The sequence below is a fragment of the Homo sapiens genome, chromosome 2 (genome assembly GCF_000001405.40).
Source record: "Homo sapiens chromosome 2, GRCh38.p14 Primary Assembly".
NCBI lineage: Eukaryota > Metazoa > Chordata > Mammalia > Primates > Hominidae > Homo > Homo sapiens.
In genome coordinates, this window is record NC_000002.12 from 209,623,968 (window position 1) to 209,640,123 (window position 16,156).

General features: G+C 36.7%; 1 protein-coding gene across 74 annotated transcripts in view; it reads left to right on the forward strand.

The window, feature by feature from the left end:
- MAP2 (microtubule associated protein 2) overlaps window positions 1-16,156 on the forward strand; it is a 310,066-nt gene that overhangs the window by 199,921 nt on the left and 93,989 nt on the right. For all 74 annotated transcript variants that reach the window (NM_001375493.1, NM_001375501.1, NM_001375503.1 and 71 more), the window contains one exon: window positions 1,086-1,162. The gene's annotated coding sequence lies outside the window, so the exon portion shown is untranslated. The remainder of the gene's footprint in view (window positions 1-1,085; window positions 1,163-16,156) is intronic.

The window sequence follows — 16,156 nt, forward strand, 5'->3', positions numbered from 1 at the left end:
TAAATGAGCTAACACATGTAAAAGCACTTCATACACAGCTCTGGCCCAGACCATATTTTTTGCTTTTGAATCAAACTTATGTCTGCTCATATCCATATACACATTGGTCCTTAGAGGTTCATACAGAAGAATTGAGCCATCTGCATCTTGTCTTTCCAACTTGCATTTCCTAGTGGGTCTTAAAGAAGAGTTAATAGGTGTCAGAGTTTGAGTCTGGGTTCCTTACCTGTAGAGCAACATCTTCCTAGAAGATATGACGGGGTCCACTCTACCAGGAGTAAAATCACACAGGTCCTGACAAAACGCATGGAGATACATAGATTTAGATACCTAGTATAAGAGAGCTGGACTATAAAATGGCCCTCAGCTCTGCAATCCCTTATGTATTGTGCGTCCTTTGTAGTCCTCTATAGATGAAGATAGTTACACCTGAATGGCTTATGAAGTAGAAAACAAGCCTCGTGCTTTCTAGTAATTCTGTTTATTTCTACATACCACTTCAGTAAGAAGTATTCTGTATTGTTCTAGGTGGAGTTCCTAAGCAGAACTGCTAATCCAGAATGACATTTAGGATTCTGAATGTCAAAATAAGTTTAGTACTCCATGGAGAAAATTTAATGAGTTGTTAAAAAATTCCTCTCCATCCTGTGCTGGAGAGAATCAATGCAGACTGGGCTGGAGGCCCAGTCCTTTAAAGATTACTGGATATAATTAATGATTTACTAGAATGAATGTATTCTCTTGGGAGAAAATATGATTGTCTGCTATTTATTAGCTGAAGACAATTTAAAAATTTATTCTCCCTTGGATGTAATACCTATAAAGTGCCATTGGAGTGGTTTTCAAAGTGAGAAAAAGCATGCAGCAGTTAGCATTTTCACTTTTCTATTCTATCTGTGATAGTTCCCAGCCAGTGATAAATGCTCAGTGTATGACCACTATAAAGAACCATGATGATATCCATCTCATAGTCTTATAGTTGCCAGAAGAGAAAGCCACAAGATGAATTCTGTTGTTGAGCTACTTGATGTGATTAATGTATATGGATCAGGGATTAAACTATTAATTTTCTATTTTTTTAACAGAAAGAAGCCAGAAAATATTATCAACCCTTTGAGAACACGACACAACGAACTTTATATTTTACCACTTCCTTGAATAGGTAAGACTCTCTCTACTCTGAAAGAGTTACCTACAAGTGTGAAAAATAACTCTTTGCTAACCTTTTGTTTTTTAAAATCTTTAAATAAGTAACAATTCATTTTAGTAATGGAGAAATAACTTATAAATAGTTATTTCTAATATTTTAATAGTTATAGCTAATAAATTCAGTGTTATTAAAACAGCACTTCATAGTGTTGAGTTGACTTAATAGTAAGAAAATGACAAGCTCTTTCTCTTAAATCAGGATTGAATTCAGCCTGTCTCTCCTGCCTTGGTTGACAATGCCAACGGTATTTCTTCAGTACCTGTTACATGCCAAGCATGATCCTACATGACTTAATTTGCATAAATCAATTCATTTACTTCTTACAACAGTTCTATGACGTAGATATGGGGATCATCCCCATTTTAGAGATTAGGGGCATGAGGCAGAGAGAGAAGCAGGTGGATGCAGGGATTCACCTGAGATTGCATACATGGCTTTGGAAGCAGGCACTGGACAGAACACCAGCCCCAGCTGTTATTAGGAGAGTAGTTTCATGTTGTGGTAGAAATGTCTAGCAATCAGACTTTCCTACATTTTGAGTAGTTTTTATCAAAATTTATGGAATAAAAATAACAGTGCATTTACTGAACGCGCTATAAATGCATAGCAGATAAACTTTTATGTTTGCATTTGTTCCTCACAAAATTTTTGCATGAGTAAATAAAGGAATATATATGCTTTAGCTCAGTTACAAGCAGAAATAATATTTTCCTTTATTTTACATCTTTCTTTAAACTCAAAATTCCTATGATAAAAGCATAATAAAATTATGGAAAGATTATAAATGAATGATTTCTTATTCTAGGAAATATATTTCAATTTAGTTTTTTTAAATTAGAAGTACTGAATATATAATCTTAAATTGGCCACAGCAGTATTCACTTTCTTGTTTTTATTATTTGTTTTTAAGCAAGAAAATTTATAAGATGTTCAAAGCAAAATATAAAAAAATATTATAGGCCGGGTGTGGTGGCTCACACCTGTAATCCCAGCACTTTGAGGCCAAGGTGGGCAGATCATGAGGTCAGGAGTTTGAGATCAGCCTGGCCAACATAGTGAAACCCCATCTCTACCAAAAATACAAAAAATTAGCCAGGTATGGTGGTGGGCACCTGTAATCCCAGCTACTGGGGAGGCTGAGGCAGGAGTATCTCTTGAACCTGGGAGGTGGAGGTTGCAGTGGCTGAGATCACAACATTGCACTCCAGCCCAGGTGACAGTGCAAGACTCTGTCTCAAAAAAGTATATATATTACAGCAAATACCTAAGCATCCACCACACAGATTAAACAAATGCTAACATGCAGCTATATTAAAATCTTGTCTAAAAAAATAATCACAGAAGTCATCAAAGCTCTTCTTGCTTCCTTTTTAGTTTCTTCCATTCTTCCAGAGATGTCAAAACCCTAAAGATCATATAACCTTCCTGTGTGTGTTCTAACACTGCTATGACATGTGTAAGAAACAAATGTTGAACAATTATTAACATTTTAAAAGTTTACATGAAGGGCATCACACTGTAGATATTCTTTTGCATCTCATCTTTACCCAATATTATATGTAGAGATTCTTTCATATCGAGGCATGAAGATCTGGTTGACACCTTCTGTTATAAAGTTGACTCATCTTAATGTTTTAATCTTCTGGTGCCTAGTATTATTAATTATTATTTCTAAATAACTTTCAGCATTTTAAAGGTTTAATGTTAAAATGGTTTAAGCATGGCTTGCAAAACTTATTTGAGATTTATGTATAAGGAATTCAAAGTTTTTAATATATAATATCATGCCAATCCTGCTTATGTTTTATTTTTTTCAACTAGAAAAACATTTTTTTATTTGGTTTGTAAGGATCTTACTAATCTAATGGGACTCATGATTTTCATTCTTTTGCTATAACACAATAATTAGAATCTGTTTTATTTCCCTATACATGAAACACTTACTATTCCCAAATATAGTATAAATTACTACCTTTGGAATTTAAGATACTTAAAAGTGAAATATCTTGGTCTGGCCTATGTTAGTTGCTCATATTCTAGAAAATAATGGAGGAAACTAAAAAAGAAATTTTTTTTCAAAATGTTTTCTAACACTATAGCTAATTTTAGAATTTGTTTAAGGTAAAAGAAATGTTAGTATATGGTAGTGAAATAGTAGACATAGACTCTCTCCCAACTTTTATTTTCTGAGAGAAGTAAATTATTTCGTCAAAGTTGGGGGAGGAAGAGGAATAGAAGACTAACCTTTTTGGGCAAATTTGAGTAAGTAAATTTGAGATTTTATATAAGTCTCTTAGGTCAGAAATGCATTACCATTTTGCATAGGAGGCAAATAAGGCCCAAATACCTCAGGTAACTTACTCAAGATCATATAATGATTGCAGAGCCTGCATTCAAACTCATCCCTTTCAGGCTCTGAAGCTATTCTGCCTACCAGAAAATAAATTGGAAAAACCTAATCTGTTTGTCACATATATAGAAATTTTATTCATGCCACTAATATTTATTGGGATCCTTTTATGTGAGTTGAGGTCCAGTGTTAGGAAAGCAAGGAAGACACAGTACCTAAAATGAGAAACAGTCTATTGAAAACCACGAAGATTAATTTAGTGATACCACTAAATGTGACTATTTAATTAGACATTTTTATTTTGCTGTGATATCCTCACACTGCTTACCAGGTGATTACCTTTGAAATTGCCTAGCCATGCCAATTCAATTAAACTGGATAGGATAATAGGAGTGAAAATGTTTTGCAAATGACAAAATCTTTGCAATCATTTGCTAATATTACTAATTCTCATATTCCATGAATTTAGAGTTGAATACTTCTATCCTAACACATGTACTTCTAAATGTGTTTGAAGTTTGAGTCTTACTAACTTATGTAGAATTCACATATTTTTCGGCCGGGCACGGTGACTCACGCCTGTAATCCCAGCACTTTGGGAGGCCGAGGCAGACAGATCACAAGGTCAGGAGTTTGAGACCAGCCTGACCAACATGGTGAAACCCCCGTCTCTACTAAAAATAAAAAATTAGCCGGGCATGGTGGCACGTGCCTGTAATCCCAGCTACTCAGGAGGCTGAAGAAGGAGAATCGCTTGAACCCGGGAGACGGAGGTTGCAGTGAGCCGAGATATTTTTCACACAAAAACCTTAAATATTACAGTGCAGTGGTTAGCAACTCTGAAAGTTTGTTTGTTTCTAACAACCACCACCTGTTAAAGGCATGATTTAATCTCTTTAAGACTCAGAGTAGATAATTACAGTACCAAGCTCATGCCTGTCCAGGATCTTATCATGCCTTATCATCTCTACCTATATCATTCACATCCACTGTCTCTCATGTTTACTACTATCATAATCCCCTGTACTCAGTCTTGTTCTTCTACAGTCTATTGTTCACATGGAAGTCAGAATTATCTTTTAAAAACATCTTAATCAATTGATATGACTCTCCTATGCAGAATCCACCAATGACTGCCTGTAATAGTCAAAAATAAAGCCCACACTCCTACAATGGCCAACAAGATGCTACATATACTGGCATCTTCTACCTACATCATCTCGACATGATCTCCTCTCATGGAGGGCAGAGACTATGATGTTCAGAGCTGTATTACCAGCCCCTAGAACTACCACCTATCCTGGTGGATGGACCCTCACTTGCTGAAGGGATGACTAGGTATGCAAGGGTTACCATGGAACAATGTAGGTAGATGCTCTGCACACAGAGTACCTTTAATGCAGAACAGTGATAGTCGTTGCCCTTTTAAGGATTCCTTTGGTTTGTTTCAACAGAGGCCATCACATCTGCAATGCTAAAGCACTTTCATGTTTTTGACTCATGATTTTATAGCATTATGAGAAACTTTACTTAGCTGATTTATAATTGCAAGCCATAATGTATAATACCAAAAGAAAGAAAAATGCACATAGACAAATCAGGAACTAATTAGCTGGATGAGAAAGCCAGTTGAAGAGCAGAAAATATTTATTATTCCTTGCAGTCTTTTAACTAAATAATAATACTAAGATTTACCACATTCAACATAGTTTAGATTTTACTTTATCTTCAGAATAGATTTATATCTCTTCATCACTCATAGATGAGCAAAGTTTATCCTTTAAGATAATTTTCTGTAAAATAGGCTGGGTTTTTGTTGTTGTTGTTGTTTTATTTTTATAATATTCCTAGGAGAAGCACTTGATGAGTGTTTATATCATTGAGAACATTTGGCAAGAGAAAGACAAACAGTAGAACCACAATACCCCAACATTTAAGGAAATGAGAAAGAAAACCTGGTATTTTCACCATCCTCTCTGAAAATAAATACTTTGACTTGCACTGATTACTACTTCATCAGCATTCAACTCCGCTCCGTGGCACTCTGTGTGAATAATTTTAAAGGCAGATTAAGCATTCTAAAAATAAATTCTATTGGTAAATTAGGATATCAGATGCTTCCATTATAAAAGCCTATCCTATTCTGTACTCTCAGCTGGCAGTCATATCCAGATCTCAAGCTACTCTGGCTCTTATTGAACAAGAACCTATTCCAGGAGTGAGGTTTTGAAGAGGGATCTCTCATGGTTAACTAGAGACAGAAAGAGGCAGAATTGCCCACATACTCTGGCAGGAGTTAAAATAACAATAACAGCCCTCCTACTTAACAGGCTGAGTCATCAGCACATTCTACTGATTTCTCAGTAATTCTGGGCAGATTGTTTGGGCTGGAATTCTGTAGGCAGAGGTGGGCACCACCTGCTTCAAAAGGCTCTAGTTCTTATTAGGAGGGTGCTGTTATTAAGTCTTGTCTTTTAACTGTTTGACCAAATGGAGATAGGAAAAGAAAACAAAAACGGTGCTGATGAGCACTTTTTCTAATGCTTAGAATTTTTAAAAATGGTGGTCCAGGCATGGTTACTATGCAATTAGTTCTTTTACTGGCTATAAGTCACTTTGCTTAAGCAGAATAGGGAAGATTATTTTATGGTTGCTGAGGGACCTCATAATCCAAGGGCTCAGAAACAGATCTTATGAGGGTCTAGAATCAGGAACTAAACATCAGCCAGGAACTAAGGCCACCATTCTCCCAATCTCTCTGGGGCTCCTCAGCCCGATCCCTCTGTAGCTCTCTTTAATTCAAGATGACTATAGATAACTCTTTACGTAGAGACTGGATTTCCCTACTGCCCATTACACAAGCACAACTCTCAAGTGTGCTTTCTCATGAATGCCAGCTTCAAGCAGTATATTAATTTTTAATGACCTGAGCTGCTTAGCTAATAAGCTGTGATCAATGGAATAGACCAGGTGGTGCATATATAGTTGCCAGGATCCTATACCTATGGGTGGGAAGAGGGAAGAATAATCAGTGAAATGGAGTCTCAAAAGCTATTAAAAATCTCATGGTACAGTTTATTTATACCCTAAGTCTTCCCTTCCACAAAATTCCCCTTTATTGAATTTTATTGTTGTATAAAGAGCCAAAGAGTAGGATGTTAAGAGATTAGAAGAGCAGGGAGTATAGCCAGCCTCCAAGGGAAAGACAAATGGATAAAGGACTTCTTGACTGTGGTTTTTGTGTAATTGATACTTTAGGGAGTGTTCACTACATACTATTTTTTCCTTCTTCTTCACATACTTAGGTATATTTTATGGTTGTCAACTCATGAAAACCCTATTACTGATCAAGGGTCTTCCATATTGGTTGGTGCTCAGAAACTGAGGATGTTTATAAGCCCTTAAAAGTCTTATTCAAGCTCTCCTTGTCCCTTGAGCTAGAAAGTAGCATTTTTCAAGATTGAAGGGAGCTACAAGCAAAAAAAAAAAAAAAAAAAAAAAAAAAAAAGAGAGAGAGAGAGCGAGAATAGATGGAAAGCAAAATGACTGTCATAGACAAATCTAGAGACAGAACAAGCAGCTTAAGGAAGCATTTCAGGTGCAAAGTTAGCATTCAGCCTTTAGCTTGCCACATTTTCCTGTAAAAATAAAACTGCTTATAAGATGCATTCATCTGTCTGTCCTGTCCCTTTGATGCAATATGAAAAATGTGAACTTAGCAAGAGATGTGCGGGTATGTGGGTGTCTGTGTGTTTACATGCACAACTTAAACCAACGTTTCAGTACACATAGTTCCAAAGACCACTCTTCTACAAAACTTGGCATGAATGTGATTATGAGTTTGGGATGCTTTAAAACCTCAGTCCTATGGTCATTGAAACGAATTTTAATTTGAGGATACAGTGTGATATGAGGAACTTTGCAGGCAGACCCTTCAGCTACTGTCCTGTGGACCTGGCTGTTCCTGAGGAGGTGAATGGCCATTTTCCCACAAGTGGTATGTTTGGCCGGTTCCCCTTTTGTCCCTCAGGCTTCTGTTGTTGGCAAAAAAAAAAAAAGTAGTTAACAAGGAAACATTTTTCTTAATGGTCATAATCTAACTGCAGCATAATACCTGCCTAATTCTCACTGAAATATGAAACCAAATATATAAACTTATTTTCGAGCCAATCATCATTTTACAGGAGAGAAAAGAGTATGTGATGAAGCAAAGATCTTTCTATTTACTCATTAAAAAATATTTTAATCCTACCTTGTTCAAGTCTCTGTTCTATAAAGCATGAGAAATCCAAGTAAGGGATTGTGTAGAAGCATGAAACTGCAACATGTGTTAAAAGAAACAGCAAGTCCATTTTAATTGGATTATGTAAGGTAGTAGACTGAGTTGAGTCAAAAGGGGTAAATTGAAATAGGACTGTGGAGATGCTATAAAACCTAACCTAGGGGCATGCACTTTATTCATTAGATAGTGGGGATTCCGTGGGCAACACGGTTTCTGGCAGAGCAATGATGTGATCAAACTTGAGTTAGGAAGTTTGATTACACTGGCAAAGATATGTAGAATGAATTAGACAGTAGATTCTGAAGCAAAAGAAAATTGGAGGTTTGCATCACTAATATGTATTTACACCTTCAATATGTGGCAGTGGACAAGAAAGTGAGTGGAAAAGAAACCTGTAGCTGAGGATAACAGTCAGGACTGGAATTATGGACTAGGTACTCATCTACATATCCAGTATCTGAACTATTTGGAGTGAAGGGCCATGGAGAAGAGAATAATGCCAGAAAAGAGCAAAGAACATTAGGGAACATTCACATTGGTGGGGAGAAGTGGAGAAACAGAGAAAAATGAGAAGGATATTTAGAAGAAGGAATCATGCCTATCATGAACCAAGGTTGTTATTACAGAAAATGACATTTAAGTCAAGAAGAAAGAACGAACAACAAAAAAGTGTCATACTTCGTGCTTAATAGATTCTCAGTGACTATTAAGAGACAGGAAAACAACAGTAACTACAAAGTCTCTATCTTCAACTCCAGTCCTGAGACCACCAAACACAAAGTTTCTACCATGCTCTGGCCATGCCCATCCAGATATGCTGTCGTCAGTCATCACAAACACACATGTCCCTCTGTGCTCTTCCTGGCACCCAAAGTTTTAATGTATCTCCGTTGCTATCCATCAAGATATCCAAGTAGAAATCCAAGAATCTATTGTTTAATCCTCTTGCTTTAATTCCTAAATCTGGCCAGGCACCAGATTCTGAAGTATCTCAGAAATCTGAGCCATCCTCTTCCTCACTCTTACTCTCTCAGCCCAGGGCGTCTACCAGAACCTTTCAGTGGCCTTTGATTAGTTTCCCTCTTCCTGAAATTCTTTATAAACTGACTCTCCTCCATGCTGTCACTGTGTAATTTTCAGTGTATATCAGATCATTTCTTTTTCCTACTTCAAATTTTCCTACAGTCTAAAGCTCCAAACATATTAAATGCCATTTAGAACACGTCAAAGCAGCTGTTTCTGGACAATCTCCAGTCTTTCCTTTCTACTCGATTGCCTTTTCTTCATTCTAACCTCAGCAGGTGACTTGTACTTCCTCAATTTAATTATTTATTTTTGTATGCCACGTTTCTCTCATGTTACAATCACCTTTGTTATTTCCGTTACTCCTGTCTAAATACCCGTGTTCCCCTTGTCTGCCTTCCAAAAGCCTATGTCTGTTCAATTCAAATGCCATTCCTTCTATGAAGCTTTTTCTCCAGTCCTAAAAAAGTGGTATTAATTGTGCCTTTAGGCAATAAGGGGCATCTGGTAGCCTTTTAAATGTATCTGCACTATAGAAAAATCATCTTGGCGTGTCATTATTCCCATCCAGTTGGTGAAGTCTCAAAGGCAAAAGTTTCACCGCTTCCAAAACCATGTTATTCGATTTTAAACAAAACAATACTTAATAAATTGTTGTTAATAGTTGTTACTAAGTTATGAGTAAAATAATGAGTACGTGATAAGTAAATGGATTAAAGAGGTGAAAAGAAATAAACTGTAGCCTTGAGATAGATTTACAAAATAGATTTTATGGTGATGGTTACTGTTTGTCATCCTTTCGTGTGGTAGGGAAGGGGGTTTGTTTTGGGTAGGAAAAAAGACTAGGTTTGTAGTCAGAAAGCAAGAAAAGGAGGAAGAATGAGCTGGAATTGTGAGACCATGAAGGGATATATGACAAAATTTTGGAGGAGGCAGGAAAAGATACGTTAAAGAGCAAATAAATTAACAAAATAAGGGCCACCCATTCCTCTAAAGAAAGGTGACGACAATGAGGGCAAATGAAGAGGGCCTAGAGAGACAAGACATAGACCCTTTGCAGGGCTTCTGTTTTTTACCATCTCAGGAAAAGGAGGGCTTTCACTCTGCTTTTGGCAAACATCAAGCTGTCCTAAGATTCCCTGAATGTGTTTGCACATTCTGTCTGCACATTGGCCAGAAAGCAGATGTTACAAAAGGACCAACCCAGAAGCTGGGCCATCTTTGCTCCAGCCACACCGGAGAAGGGCATGAAGAGAGAAATTCAGGAAGAGCTGCAGGAAATTCTTTCCTCAAGTTTGCTCTCTCACTTCTCCCACTCCACCTCCCACAGGGTGTTCTAGTTGCTGTCAAGATTTGCTGTGCAGGCAATAAACTGGGGACAGTGACTTAAATGTTTCATTTAATCCTGCTACTTCTATTAGTCTCATCGATTTTTTGGAAAATCTCATTATACTTTTCTTCAAACCAAAAGGATTAGCTTATTGCTATAACAAACAGATCTAGAAATGTGTTATAACTTTGTTTCTTGCTCACCTAACAGTCCAGGTTCAGTGTTCCAGTTGAAACGTTGTTTGTCCTCTTCGTAGTCAGCCAGGGTCCAGACTTCTTCCATGTGTGGCTTTGCTTTGTCATTTTCTTCATCCAGCGAGTGGAAGGGAAAAGACCAAGGAGGAGCAAAAGGCAGCTGTACCTGAGGTGATCTTGGAAGTGTACACAGCACTTCTTTCTGTTCACCTGCCATTGGTTTGAACTCAGTCATTTGGACACACCTAATCGCAAGGGAAGTTAAGAAATGTACTCTAGCTATATGCTCAAAATCAAAAAAGATTTTGGTAAATGGTTAGCAGTCTCTGTTATACCAAGGGAAAATCTGCCTACAAATTAATATATTTGAATACTCAGATCAAGTAGCTCAAGCTGTGGCAAAAATAGATGTCAGTTATACCACAGAGATAAGAGTGTGGATTGTAACTTCAATATCATGTTAAAATAGTAAATGTATTAAATACACTAGTTTATCGAACTTAATTCTTATAATAATAGAGAAAGCAAGCATTTTGCTTGGGCAACATAGCGAGACCTCATGTCATCTCACAAAAAATAAAAATAAAAATTAGCTAGGAAGGTTGCACCTGCCTGTAGTCCCGGCTACTTGGGAGGCTGAGATGGGAGGATTGCTTGAGCCCAGGAGTTGGAAGAAGCTTGAGAGAGCTATGATCATGCCACTACACTCCAGCCTGGGTGACACAGCAAGAGCTCTGACTCTAAAAGAAAAAGAAAATAATAAATCAGATATTTTACATAACTCTCCTTATAGAAATACTCATTGTTTCCAAAATGATAATGACTTCAAAAGCATAGTGTCTATTGCCATTCTTGGTTTCTTCAGTAACTTCTTATTAAAGGAATCAATTGATTAATTAATGTAGAAAACCTCATTATGGAAAAAATAAATATTTGTACTTTAATGAGTTTCTAAAATTTATTATAAAAAGACAAATTGGCATAGCCAGTTAAAAACTCATTTTTGTACTGAAGAAGGATATATGGCCTTTTAAGGAAAAATGAAGAGTAAAATTATAATAGAAAAAAACCCTGAGTTGATGCTTTTGCAAAAATGTTTAAAAAACTGTGATGTTTTGATGAACTTACAAATAACCGTATATAGTCCTGACGTGATATTTTGTATTTGCTCCATCCATACTGTTTATTTGGATGTTTATAAACATTACTATTTACGTGGAGGGTAGCAGTGCACCTGGTTTATATGAAAGGAATATAGTGTGTTGCAGTGTTGCATGAAAGCTGTTCTGTTGGATAAATATTCTACAAAATCAATTTATCTGCTAAAAAAATTCTATAATTGGGTTTCTGTTTCCTGTGACTGCAGAATGCTTGGGTGTTTGCAAAAATACTGCATTGCAGTAAGTGTGTGATCACTGTTTTCTCCCTGAAAGTTAAAACGCATTTTCTCTTTGAGAGTAGGCGGCCATTTAATAGAATTCTCATGACATCAGAGAGCATTTCAAAGGGAAGAAAACTGGCCTTTCCTACAAGCATGTAAGCAAAGACAGTTTGATGTTTTCTTCTATGTGAGATTAAGTAGCCAGCAAGACCCCAATGTGGCTGAACTCAGGGGCTGATTCCTTCTGAGTATCTCTGTCAAATCATTCTTCCTAAGAAGTGTGATGATTTTACCTAAACCTAGTAATTTCTTGAGATTTTTACTCTTTTCTTTTATCACCCACCCTCTGCACTTTTCTAATGAATATCAAGGACTCCAGTTGTACCATGTGCTCAGTAATTACTACAGAAGGCAGTTTGATTCTGAGACAGTTGTAGTCTCTGTCAGAGAAATTTAGAATTCACTAAAGCAAATACTTCAGTGAGGGAGTGCCAAAGCTTGAGTCATTTACAACCATTGTGAACAGAGCTCTAGGAAAGATCCAGTAGTAATCAATCCTGAATAAAAAGCAAAGGGCCAACACAATCAAAAAAGACCTTTCTCTAACACAGACAGACTGCTGTGGCACTAGAAAGTTCTTCCTACTGGCCTACTGGGAAGCAGTGTGTAAGCCTTTTTGTTTTGAGCCTGTGTGTTCCTTTTTGGCATGTGTTTACAATTGGAGTGAGTCCTGTTTTTGGAGTGTGAGAATTCAAGAGAGAACTTTATTTTAAAAGCAAGGGGGATTGAAAATTATAGTACAATATAATGTTATATACGTATATATTATATATATATATATACACACACACACACTTATAAGCAACAGAATTGAAAATATAACAGCGTAATACATTGCATATGCACACTGATATATAATATCCATATACATACATCTATGGATTATTTAAATATACACTGTAAGATTTGACTGAAACATGAGGACAGGGAAATTCTTCATTGAAATACTATAGGGAAGTAACATACCAATGTATATTTTTAATGTAATTTTCTCATGGCAGAGCTGAGTAACTGTATTACATAGTTCAAAATATTTGTACATGGAAATCACACAGAAAAACATTCTAACTTTATTTTCTCCACAATAGTTTAAGTAATGACAAGCCTATCCTGCAATTATTCTTTCTGGCATCCAGGATCTACCATGCTTAAGAGCCTACAAAGACTTCCCAGCTTGTATAGGATCCTGTAGAGCTTCGTCAGGTGAATTTTTGAAATTATACATTAAAAGTCTAAAAATCACAGAATGCCAAATGAAAGCTCAGAACCTACCTGAATAGTATTCTCTACAAGCGAGTGTACTGCTGCTGTATTCTGCTTTTCTCAGCTCATCTGGAATCCCAGAAAGAAAAGGAGCAGTTCTGGCCGGGTGTGGTGGCTCTTACCTGTAATCCCATCACTTTGGGAGGCCAAGGTGGGCAGATCACTTGAGGTCAGGAATTCAAGACCACCCTAGCCAATATGGTGAAACCCTATCTCTATTAAAAATACAAAAATTAGCTGGGCGTGGTGGCAGGCACCTGTAATACCAGCTACTTGGGAGGCTGAGGAACAAGAATCGTTTGAACCCAGGAGTCAGAGGTTGCAGTGAGCCAGGTTCACATCACTGCACTCCAGCCTGGGCAATAGACTGAGACTGTGTCTTGATGAGATAAGACAAGATAAGGTGAGAGGAGATAAGGTAAAATAAAATAAGGTAAGATGAGATAAGATAGGATGAGATGAGATAAGATAAGATGAGGTGACATAAGATAAGATAGGAAAAGAAAAGAAAAATGGGAGCGATCAGTCCACAGTGGCCCTTTTAAGGATGCTGTTACCAGTAATACTTCTAACCTAACCATCAGCCTCACTGGTCCCTTTTTCTCCTCACTTACTACAGTGATTAAAATATAAAATTGCTATCCTTTGTTATTGTGATGGTTATGATGAAATGTTAAACATATGTTAGGTTTAATAGAAGATTAATTTTTGAATACCAGTGCATTAAAAAATTAATGTCTCCTTAAACTTTTTGTGATTTTTCTAAAATTTGTTTTATTTTAATATTAACTTAATCTTTTTTGTGTTCTTAATAATTTTTTTAAATTCACTCTTGGCTAGGTCCTATTTACCTAACTTGCATATGATGGGTCTATTTTTATATCTAAGTATTTTGCCTACAGGCCCACCACATAATATTGCCACATCTATTAAGACTTTTCCAAATAAGATTGGAATATTTGTCTTTGCAGAAAAATTAATTATTGTGGCAATTTAAGTACTTGAATATTTTTTCTAGCTCAATTTTTTAACGTCTCATAAATGTAAATGAATTGTATACATTTCAGGCCTGGAGGATTTAGCAAATGTATGTCCCATCATACCCCTCCAGAAGTTTGACAGAATACAAGTAGCATGCCATGGAAATCAACCTGATTCCTAGAATTCACTCTGGGGCACACTAAGATAAATCTACTCAAAGAGAGAAGTCAAACAGTATATGAAGGCTGATCCAGTTGGATCAAACTTGGGTTGCAAGGGAATTTCAGATGACAAGGATTCTCTGTATGCTTCCTTTTGGCCCAACTCAACTGATATCATGAATAAGGCTACTTTCAACTTAGAATTCCTCTGAATCACAATTACAGCTGCAGTGGGCACAGCACAACACAAGCAGCCTGCCCCAAATCCACCCCTAGAAAAAAAGAAAGAAGAGAAATGACTCTGCTTTATATGACTCATACGTTACTTATATATGACTAATATTTACCTTTCCCTGGAGAAAAACTAGTATTTAACATAATTAACTAGATCGTTGATGCTCCACAGATGTAGTAGGTTAGTATACTTTAAAATGCATGTAATACAAATGTTTTGCATCCATCCATTTTTCTTTTTAAATATGTATGACTCAGAAGGTTTTTACTCATGTAGTACCTATTTTATCCTCTATTATTGCATTTACTGTGTTATAATGTATGTTTTTTCAAACACATCTGCCTTTCTGAATACAGTGTAAGCAGTTTATGGTCAGAGTCTATATCTTAATCATCATCATTTTCCTAATGCCTAACAGCATTCCTGATATAAACCTGGTATTCAATCAATGATCATTGAATAAGATACTAGAAACCAACATAAATTAATCGATGGATTGATAATGATCTTAAAATTAAATGAAGGCCTGATACATGCTCATTAGAGATCATTATCAATCCATTAACTTATTTATTTTGCTTTCTAGTATATAATTCAGTAATCATTTATTGACTACCACCTTTATATCAGGCCCAGTGCTTTGGTCATTTAGGCTCTCTGTTGCTTAAGCAATCCTCCCACCTCAGCCTCTCAAAGTGCTGAGATTACAGGCATGAACCACCATGCCTGGCATCAGCACAAATTTTAATGAAAAGGAACTCTTCTGGACATCATATGTGACTGGACCACAAACTGAATTCAAAACATAATAATGTCAATACCCATCAAAATTGTATAAAACATGATATTTTATCATTCTTTTCAAAACATACATGTAAATAGATGATAGATAAATACTGTAATTCATGAAACAGTCTGTTAAGTTTATTAGACTGTATTAATTTGAGGATTAGGTTTTGTTTTAATTAATTAATTTTTTTGAACATAGAATCTAGCCCCTTGTTTCAGTCCCACTCACACTGCCATAGCTCAGGCCCAGTTCCTTTCAAACAACTGTCTCTGAGAAATGTTTCTATCCTTAGCCATGTCTTCTTCCAATTTACTTTCCATACCACTGCTGGATCAATCATCCTAAAAACCAAGCTCGAGTGTACCATTTTCTTTTCTCCATCTTTCATGGGCATCCATGGCCTTCAGGACAGAGTGCAGGCATGGCTCACCACATCCCTTTACAATTCTGCCATTGCCTGGCCATCGACCTCATTTCCACACTTCCCACTTCACTTCTGTTCCATAGTGAACAATTTTGTGCCTTACATGAGGTTTTTTTTTTTGGTTGTTAATGTTGTTCATTTATTTAGCGAGCATTTGTTGTGGAGCCTACTCTGTGCCACACACTGTACTTGGTGCTGGAGGTCAGAGATGAATTAAACACAGCCCTTCCTCCAGGAGCTCACAGCCTTGTGAGGGAGACATAGAGTAGAGAGGAACCTCTGACCCAGAGTGAGGGCTGGAGTTATGGAGATGCCAGAAGATGCTCATTTTGGTATCTTTCTAGAAAGTGTTGCCTAGCCCAAGTCTCAAAAACAAACAAAACAAAAACAAAAATGTAGGATTTGGTCATCTAGGCTCTTTCTTCCTAGAAAGCTTCTTGTCCTTTCTTTGACTACCTCCTACTTGTCCTTT